Source organism: Homo sapiens, chromosome 12, assembly GCF_000001405.40.
Source record: "Homo sapiens chromosome 12, GRCh38.p14 Primary Assembly".
NCBI classification, from domain to species: Eukaryota; Metazoa; Chordata; class Mammalia; order Primates; family Hominidae; genus Homo; species Homo sapiens.
The window spans coordinates 68,034,082-68,044,660 of NC_000012.12; the positions used below are offsets into that span (position 1 = coordinate 68,034,082).

A 10,579-nucleotide genomic window follows, 5' to 3' on the forward strand; every position below is an offset into this window, starting at 1 on the left:
ATGAATGGTCCCAGGACAAAGCTAATGAAAGGGAAGGAAGAAATGTAACCAACACTTATTTATTATGTACTTGTACTGTGTCCTAGGTGCTTTGATTACATTCTCTTCTATTTTGTCCACCTCTGGCATGACATGGAAGGACAATGTATTGCCAGGAATTCTCCAAAATGAAGGACAGTTTTAGGGGCAGGAGATTTTTTTTAAAAGAGCCAGCATCTATAGAGTTCCTGCTATATGCCAAATACTGTGCCAGAACCTTGAATCACACTGCTTCTGTTTCATACATGCTCAATCCTCTAAAGTGAGCTCAAAGATGCCTTCTAACCACATGCCAAAGTAGGGAGTTCTAAGAAGAGGACGAAGTCCTCAGGCACACAGTCTTAAGGGTTGAAAGTTTTTAAGTGAGGAGTAGAAGTTAAAAGAATGTGAAAATGAACCTTGGCTGACAGAAGCCACCTCACCCAGATATGCCAAGGAGATTACCCTCCCACCGGCACAACCACCACCTGCCCCGCCACTTCCCAACAGCCAATGGCTGACTCATGAACACGGAAGTCCAGTCTGCTTCAAATCATGATAAGTCTGCTGTACTACTTATGCTCCAGAGTCCCCTATTGATCAGGCCAAGGCTAGACTTCATTAGAGGATATCCTCGTTTGGTAATTTGCACTTTCCTATGTCACTTCCCTTTTTCTGATATAGGTTTGGCCTGAAGAACACTTCCTCAATAAGTCCCTTGTCCTCAGTTTCTGACTTAGGCTCTGCTTCTGGATAACCCAACATAAAATGAAGAAAATTTGAGTTCCTGGCCATACTTCTGGTTATCACACCTAATGATTTCTGATCTTCACAATGACTCTTCGAGGTAGGGATTACTAATCCCATTTTATGAATTATTACCTTAATAATAATTCAGGTACACTGAGCCAGATTCAGCGAAAAAGGTAGGGTGCAGAAAGATAGTTCAGATAGATACTGAACTGCTTCAGTGGTTCCTATGGAGGAACTGATCAAGGCTGCCTTCAGCAGGAAGGTACTTGGCGACCCAACTCCAGGGCCCTAGGCTCTAACTTCTCACAAACCAGTTCCTTCAGAGGGAAGGCAGAGGTGAGAGGACAGAAGCTGTATCTTTTCTCAATCCATGTTACATGGTCACTCTTCTAAACCTTTGAAAATTAATCTTAGTCATTTCCGATGTCTGGCAGGTGGAATATGTTAAATATGTTTTCAAATTAACATATACCTAAGGAGTCCAGGTTCTAGATCGCAGTGCAGTTTCTCTCGGTTTGGAGTCTTCATTATTTGTCTGTTTCCCTGGAGCTAGGATTCATCCCTGTAGTGAGCCTTCTGACTGCAGCTGATAGCATTCCTCTACCACACCTTCCGATGGGGTGGTTCAGGACCAAGAGTAGATTCATAAATACACAAGCCTGGACATCTGAATGAGTTGGGACTTTCTGGATCAATCATCCAGCCTTGAGGTAAGCTTTCAAGTGACTAACAAACATGGCAAGCATGTGCTGCATAGGAACCTACTGACCAGATGGAAGAAAACTTAATTGAATACAGAGTCCATTTTCAAAGTTTAGAATATGGTGTGTTGAGATACGTTTGTTAGTTTTCTCCTTTCTGCTAGGGGACGCTGTTGAGGAAGCATTGTTAAAGTCTCTCTTCCCACTGCTGTCGTGTCTAAGTTGGAGTCTCCTAAAGAGCCTAAATGGTTGTGGAAGCTCCTCATTGGAGGGTTGAGCTTTGAAACAACCGCTGAGAGCCTGAGGAGCCATTTTGAGTAATGGGGAAATGCTCACAAACTGTGTAGCAATGAGATCCAAACACCAAGTGCTCCAGAGCTTTTGGGATTGTCACAAATGCCACTGTGGAGGAGGCAGATGCATGCATGGCCACACAAGGGGATGGAAGAGTTGTACAACCAAAGAGCTATCTCAGGAGAAGATTCTCAGAGACCAAGTGCCCACTTAGCCGTGAAAAAGATATTTGTTGGCGGCATTAAAGAAGACACTGAAGAACATCACCAAAGAGATTATTTTGAACAGCATGGGAAAATTGAAGTGATTGAAACCATGACTGACCAAGGCAGTGGCAAGAAAAAGCGCTTTGCTTTTGTCACCTTTGATGGCCATGACTTCGTGGATAAGACTGTCATTCAGAAATACCACATTGGGAATGGCCACAACTGTGAAGTTAGGAAAGCCCTGTCAAAGCAAGAGGTGGCTAGTGCTTCATCCAGGCAAAGAAGCCAAAATTGTTCTGGAAACTTTGGTGGTGGTCATGGAGGCAGTTTTGGTGGGATAGACAACTTTGGTCATGGAGAAAACTTCAGTGGTCATGGTGGCTTTGGCGGCAGCTGTGATAGTAGTGGATATGGTGGCAGTGAGGATGACTATAATGGATTTGGTAATGACACTGGTTATGGAGGAGGTGGCCCTGGTTACTCTGAAGAAAGCCAAGGCTATGGAAGTGGTGGAGAGGGTTGTAGAAACAAGGGCAGTGGCTTCTGTGACAGCTATAACGACGGAAGCAGAAGGGGCTTTGGCAGTGGTAGTGGAAGCAATTGCAGAAGTGGTAGAAGATACAATGATTTTGGCAAGTACAACAATCAGTCTTCAGATTTTGAACCCATGAAGGCAGGAAACTTTGAAGGCAGAAGCTCTGACCCCTATGGTGGTGGAGGCCAATACTTTGCCAAACCACGAAACCAAGGTGGCTATGGTGGTTCCAGTAGCAACAGTAGCTACAGCAGTAGCTACTGTTTTTTGTTTTTGTTTTTTTTTTTTTTTGTCGTTGTTGTTTGGAGACGGAGTCTCGCACTGTTGCCCCCGGGCTGGAGTGCAATGGCGTGATCTCGGCTCACTGCAACCTCTGCCTCCTGGGTTCACACAATTCTCCTGCCTCAGCCTCCCTAGTAGCTGGTGCCCACCACCACACCCAGCTAATTTTTTGTATTTTTAGTAGGGATGGGGTTTCACTATGTTGGCCAGACTGATCTCAAACTCCTGACCTCGTGATCCACCCGCCTTGGCCTCCCAAAGTGCTAGGATTATAGGCATGAGCCACTGTGCCCAGCCAGATTTTAATTACTGTCACGAGACAAAGCTTAGCAGGAGAGGACAGCTGGAAACATGACAAGGAAACTACAGGTTACAACAGATTTTTTAACTCAGCCAAGCACAGTCGTGGTAGGACCTAGCTGCTACAAAGAAGACATGTTTTTGACAATATTCATGTGTATGGGCAAAAATCTCAAGGACTGTAGTTGTGACCAATTGTACAACAGTTTATTTTAGTTTCTGTTCTGTAGAAAGTGTAAACCATGCCTATAAAGGGTTTTAATGTCAATTTTTCTTTGCACCCATGCTGTTGACTGCTCAATGTAATAGTCTGATCATGATGCTAATTAGATGTGTCCTTTAAAAAACAATATGATGTGTTGTAGTACATTGGTTGGCTGACATTAATGAAAAGACCTACCTATTAACATTGATAACTAAATCTGGACTTCTCTCTATAAAGCTACCCAATTGGGTCCCACTGGCTGAACTTTATATGCTTCAGTGGTGTCTTAACAAAAGACTGCCTCTAAATTAGACTAAGTGTCTTAGAACCCTGTGGTCTAGAGAAATGAAGTGAAATGTAATAGCTGGGAGAAACAGGGCATTATACATCTTGAAAGAACTATCTTTCAAGATAAACTAGCACCCCACTCTAGCCCAGCTTCATGGCTGACTCTCAGAGCATCATATTTTCCACTGATGGGCTGAAGATTCATAAATGTAGTAAACCACTGAAAACAATTGCTTCATAAGACTTCTTTAGAAAATTCCTTATGGTACTACATCTACAATGTAGAGGGCTTGTCTTCAGCTCCCTCAACATCTCAAATTTTTTGACACATTCAGTACATGCCTGTTATGTCTTTAATCCCAGAACACATGTATTTTCCCCTTCCAGATGATTTCTTTGCAGATTTCACAATGGAGAAGAGCTGTCACAGGTGGAAGTAATCATGCTGTCACAAAGATATTACTTTTTTCTTCCAGTGCTGGAAGGCAGTCAGGAACAAGCCATGCATTAGTTTAAGAGCCATGAGATGTATAACTCCAGTTTTTTAAAGCTCATAGTAGAAAATGAAGAGGGGGCAATGGCATAGCAGGTGAATGCATTTGGGGTGTGTTACAGACCAAGCAAGAATCAATCACTTATGTCTGTCAGACCAGATGGATCTGGAAACAGTTTAATCCTCAGGGCCAATGTGATATGTTGTGATATGTGATATGTCACAATAATATGTTTTCCCCGCAGGTTTCAAGCCTGTTTAAAAAAATGTTTTTAAACTTGAAAGGAAGACAAGTGACCAATATTATAAGGTTAATGCAGAAAATAATGGTCATAGTATTTAATAAACTTCAATTTATCAAATAAACCTGTATGTCAGTCTTTCTGGCTTTAGGCCTGTTTGCATCAGAATTATCCTGGAGGATTCTTAAAACAACAAAAATAAGCACACAAACATCTATTTAATCATAAGGGAATTTTCACCTAAAATAATCTCCCCCTGTGATGTAGATTCACACTGGAGTTGAGTATAATAATTTTGCTCTCATCAAAAATAATCGGAAAGAGAGGAGCTTTGGGATATGTCATTTTGATCTAAGAAAACGTATTGGCTTTCTTGCTGCTTCTTTGGATTCTTTTTTGCATATCATCTGGCAAGTGAGCAGGTGCACAGCTCTGATAAGCAGGAAGGAACCCCCGACCCCACCACCACTGCCTCAGAGCAAATACTCAATAAATGGTCACCTCATTTCCACCCCCCTCCCTACTCCCACCCACCAGGCAAGAAAGCTTAAACCTAGTAAAATCTCTGAGTGCTCAACATGGAATGGAAAACCCAGAAGAGCAAGGTTGGAAATTGTAGCTGGGAAGTCTCAAGTTCTCTGGTTCCTCCTGGAAGAGGGCATGAAGGTGGCTTTGTGTAAATATGGGCATATTGATTTTTATTTGATGAGCCATAGAAAACTAGATAGTCCAGAAATAAATAAAGGAACTGGGAATGTTGGAATCCACAAATATTGACCATCAGTTTGGGATTGGCAGCTTCTCTCCTTCCCATCTTTATTACAAGTTATAGCGCCGTTACCTTAGATGCACACATGCTTTACAATAATGTTTTTGAAGCCAAGCCCTAGAGATTTCTCAAATATGCTTCCTATGTCTTTCTAGAGGCCCAAGCACACACCTCCCTCATTTATTGCCTCCTATTCAACTTGCGCAGCTTTTATGTGGTTTACATATAAAGCTTCTGTTTAAGATTGTGTTGTCTGGGCGCGGTGGCTCCTGCCTGTAATCCCAGCACTTTGGAAGGCCGAGGCGGGCAGATCACGAGGTCAGGAGATCGAGACCATCCTGGCTAACACAGTGAAACCCCGTATCAACTAAAAACATAAAAAATTAGCCGGGCGCGGTGGCGGGCGCCTGTAGTCCCAGCTACTCCGGAGGCTAAGGCAGGAGAATGGCGTGAACCCGGGAGGCGGAGCTTGCAGTGAGCCGAGATAGCGCCACTGCACTCCGGCCTGGGCGAAAGAGCGAGACTCCGTCTCAAAAAAAAGATTGTGTTTACAGGGTTCCACTGCACATCTCATCCAGGTTTTGAAAAATATTTAGATTTTAGGAGTTGCATTCTACTCTAAGTAACAACTCCAAACCTGCACCATATTTATTGGGTGACTTTAGGCCACAGTACCATTTTGTACAGTAAGGTATCTTCTTATGAAACAGAGAAGATATGCTTACTTCCTTACAGGATAAATAATGTGATGCTGAATAAGATAAACCTAAAGTTACTAAGAGACAAACACTGTATATTAAGTGTTATAACCACACATCAGAAGACCATTTTAGACTGTGGTTTCAGGGTGCTAGAATATTCGAACCCTGTTTGCTTAGCTGACTAATCTAACTTTTTGGTAAGACTGGTTATATTTTTTTCTGTATAGAGAAGAGGTGATGAGAGAAAGTATTCTTTAGTTTATTCATTCACAATTTTTTAAAAAGGTCACTCTGGTTACCGCATGGAGAGCAGAACTGGTGGGGAATCTGTTCATGCCTGGGGAGGCCATTTAGGCACCTGCTGCCGTCATCAAGGCAAAAGATAAATACCTAAGTTTAAAAGCAAATTTATTTTTACAAGGTATAGATGTAAACAAGTCTCATATGCATGCCCAATAGATCTACTTTGTCCTACCAAAGGAGAAGGAGGATAATGCAGATATAAACTCTAGAACAAGACTGCCTTGGTTCAAATTCCAGCTTTGTCATTGTAGGACCTTGCCTAGACAAATTACTTAATTTTTTAATCTCTGTTGTCTCATCTTTAAAAGGAGGCTAATAGTAGTATCTGCCTTATAGGATTGTCAAGAATAAAGGAGTAAGTATATATGAAGTGTTTAGAATAGTTCCTTCCAGTCAATCAATGGTAACTTTTTTTTTTTCCCCCAAGCATAAAGGATCTAAATGGGGCAATGTGGCTAATGGCCCCTAGAGGGCAGCAGAGGAATAAGAACAGAGTGGACGACAGGTTCAGAGAAAGATGTCCTGTCTGATGGAAAAACGGGGAGAAGGGCACTGTGAATCATACAAAATGGAGACTGAGCTCAGGGCCATTTATAGCCTGCTTTGGGGACGTTTTCTAATAGTTCAAATCACTTTGTAGACAAAAATCAAGGACTGGAATAAGTGTAGTAATGAGAAGGATCCAGTCATGCATCTGAGAGCATACGTCCAATAAACCTCACTCAAAAGCTAGCAAGAAAATCTTGACTGTTGGCAGGAAGCATAGCTGATACTGAGGGCTGGGGCCTGGGTGCCTTTCCACTTGGCCCTTTCCATGCGACCTGGGCTTCCTCACAGCATGGTAGCTGGGTTACAGCATGAGTGTCCCAGTGAAATCAGGCAGCAGTGGGATCACGTTTTAATGACTCAGAAAAGACATGTATCACTTCTGCCATATTTTAATAGTTAAAAGTCTAACAAAAGCCCTCTTAGTTCCAAGGGGATAGGACACAGACTCCAACTCTTGATGAGGGAGTAGCAAGTTTCTGGAAAACTATATTAACAGGAAATACTGTAGTCATTTCCATAAAATACAATCGGTCACAAAGTGCTTTCCTAGAAGTTCATACTGGATTCTTTCTGCCTCATTTTCACATACAAAGCATCAGCAAATCCTGACAGACTGGGCTGCAAAATACATCCCAAACCTGATCTGATCTCACCATCTCCACTGCTCCCACCCTCGTCCAACCCAACATGTTTCTCTACCTGGATCACAGCAAAGTCTACTGAGAGGTTCCTCATCTCCAATTTAAAACCCCATAATCTACTATTTATAGGGCAGCCAGTGAGAACTTTGAAAAAATGTAAGTCTAAGCCTATCATCACTGCTCATCTTAGAACTATCCAATGGCTTTCAATTATGCTTAGAATAAAAGCTAAACTCCTAATGGTGGCCCACAAGAACCTCCATATTTTGGCCCTATTTATCTGTCTCATTTCATCTTCAGGCTTCTTTCCACCACACTCTGACCTTCTTCCTCTCACTTTAGCTCCTGGGTATGTTTTCAACTCAGGCACCTCTGATCCCAAATCTCTTCATATTACACTGTTCCATGATTCAAATCTGCTTGAACCTTCCCAGACCACTCAATATAAATGAGCATCAGTCCCATCACCGTCTATTCCTTAACCCTCCTTTATTTTCCTTAATGTACTTATCACTGTCTGAACTTACACTGTGTATGCATTTGAGTCCTTGTTCATAGTCTGCGTCTCCCTCTAGAATATTAACACTTTATGGGCAGGGCTTTGTTTACTGCTTTATTAACAGTGCTTAGGTCCACTCAATAGTTAAGTTGAATATTGAATAAAGAATAAAAGAAGAAACAAAACAAACAGTATAGCCTTTCAAATCAGTGGTGGTGTAAACGAAGATCTATTATCACTGTCATGAAAACATGTTTGTGTTCTTTACTAGATCTGGGCTATCCTTTCTTAGTGTCCTGTGGTTTCATGGACTAGTTTAGGAATGGTTGGTTGTTTCTAATGTGTAGCACTTAAGAAACTTTCAGCTTGAGCCTAAGTGTTTCCAGTGCTGAGGTTCAGTCATGTCTGGGCATGTTTGGTGAGGTGGTGGTGACAGGCCTCAAATAATTCAATTCTAATGAAATATTTGGCTTTAAGTGGATGAGGAGGAAAGGTACTGTGGCTTTGGCGTGGGTGTAGTTGGGGGTAGGTATAGAGGAGAGGAAGAGAACCCGAGGACAGCGATGTTCAAGTGAACATGTTATCACTCGTCTGGGCTTCTCAACACAATTGAACACACTTCCTATATTTGGAGAATTCCCCACCTCCTCTGCAGCCAGTACACTGGTCTGTGACACAGACCCAGACAATCACGTGCACCTCAGCAAGTTTTCTAATCACAAGCATGTATTGCAAAGAAACAAGTGCCACCTAGAGCCCACTCTGGTGAGAATGGCAGCTGGTGAATTCAGTTACTAGAGGGAGGGATGGCTAAGGTCACACCACGAGCTAGTACCAGCAGGAGTCTGTGCCTGGTGGAGTCAGCAGTTATTCCCACCTGGTCTGTTCTTTACTGTGACTCTGAGAATTGGTGCTGGCTGGGAAGCCTCCCAGCCTGCTTTCCGGCCTCCTGGGAAATCTTATATTCTTTAATAAATTCCTTTTCTGCTACTACTAGATTTTAATTGGTGACAACTGAGAACTCTGACAGAAAAAGATGGGGTGTTTAATTCCAGTCTACTTCACTGATTAGGCCTGACACCTAGGGAGAAAAGATGTAGAAGCCAAAATGTCAGGAATTATTTTAATAAGCAATTTTGTAAGACTTGGAGTTTGAACAGCGGTACTTTGCTCCCCAGGCAACAAAGTTCTGCATCAAGCTGGAAAATGAACACTTGCCCACTTTTCCCTGAAATACAGCAGGGTCCTGGCTCCATGGAAGCTCTGGTGAAATCGTCTTCAAACATCTTTTAGAAGGCTGAATACTTTTCCATTGAGATACACAGGACCCTTTATAAAACAGATGAAAATGGACTGCTTTGGTCAACGTGACACTTGGAGCCCCTAAAGCCAGGATGGCCTCATAAACCCCTCAGTGGTGAGGCTCAGTGGCAGTGCCTGGCTGCAGGCTCCCCAAGTCTGTGACACCCAGCAGGAGAGGGACAATCTCCTGAGACGACACCTGAGAGATGCATGCCAGGAAGGTAGCAGGTGCCATATGAGCAGATTTATCTCTGAGCATATGCCCTGATGGCTCCAAAAAGGCTGGTGGGGAGGCAACTTTGCAAGGACTTTGGGCTTTGTTTCAGGAATGAAGACAATTAACCACAGGATTTGAATATTCTGTAATTAATGTATTTTCTAACATAATCTAGTGAAGCCTGGGGAATTTTTAGTTGCATACCTCTTTACTCAACTATGTCTTAGCAGTGGTACATTATGCATATTCAAGTCATTGAAGTTGCCTAAACTTTAGTAAACTTGCTTATTCATTCTGTTGCTCATTAATTTCTCCCAGCCTTGTGGGAGAGCAACTAAAGTTAATCATCACTACCTCTCCACCTGGCTCTCCAAGGGTTGTCAGTGCCTATCCCCCACCCTTCATTCATCTCTCAACACCTCCCAGAGAGCTCCGGACATCTCTGGCATAATGTTCTGATCCAATATTTGCCTATTGGACTTCATGTCCTCACATCATTTTAGCTGCCTTTGTTAACCAAATTCCCGTAGGTATTTTATATATAAAAGGCATGAGCTTCAGGAGATGAGTGAGAATCTAATGCTTGATGATCTGTCATTGTCTCCCATCACCCCCAGATGGGACCATCTAGTTGCAGGAAAACAAGCTCAGGAGGCTGGGCGAAGTGGCTCACGCCTGTAATCCCAGCACTTTGGGAGGCCGAGGCTGGCGGATCACTTGAGGTCAGGAGCTCGAGACCAGCCTGGCCAACATGGTGAAACCCCGTCTCTACCAAAAATACAAAAATTAGCCAAGTGTGGTGGCAGGCATCTGTAATCCCAGCTACTTGGGAGGCTGAGGCAGGAGAATTGCTTGAATCTGGGAGGCAGGGGTTGCAGTGAGCCGAGATCGTGCCGCTGCACTCTGGCCTGAGTGACGGAGCGAGACTCCATCAAAAACAGAAAACAAACAAAAAAAAAACCAAGCTCAGGGCTGCCACTGATTCTACATTATAAGTTGCATAATTATTTCATTATATATTACAATGTAGTACTAGAATAAAGTACACAATTAATGTAATGCACTTGAATCATCCTAAAACCATCCCTACTGCACAGTCCATGGAAAAATTGTCTTCCAGAAAACCAGTCCCTGGCGCCAAAAAGGTTGGGGACCACTGAGTTAAAGAAGGCTGTAACCTAGACAAAGGCTGGAAATTAGACAAAGATGTGAGATCAGGCCAGGGTATACTATACTCTAAATGCAGACATTAAAAATGAAGCAGTTTGTACCTCGGCCAGG

General features: G+C 42.9%; 1 pseudogene, besides 1 other annotated feature; it reads left to right on the plus strand.

The window, feature by feature from the left end:
- HNRNPA1P70 (heterogeneous nuclear ribonucleoprotein A1 pseudogene 70) lies at nt 1,604-2,765 on the plus strand (annotated as a pseudogene).
- Nucleotides 8,126-8,375: an enhancer, noted in NCBI's record as "active region_6631". NCBI's record gives its function as "activates an Ori minimal core promoter by ATAC-STARR-seq in GM12878 lymphoblastoid cells {active_cell/tissue: GM12878}" and the evidence as "EXISTENCE:reporter gene assay evidence [ECO:0000049][PMID:35858748]".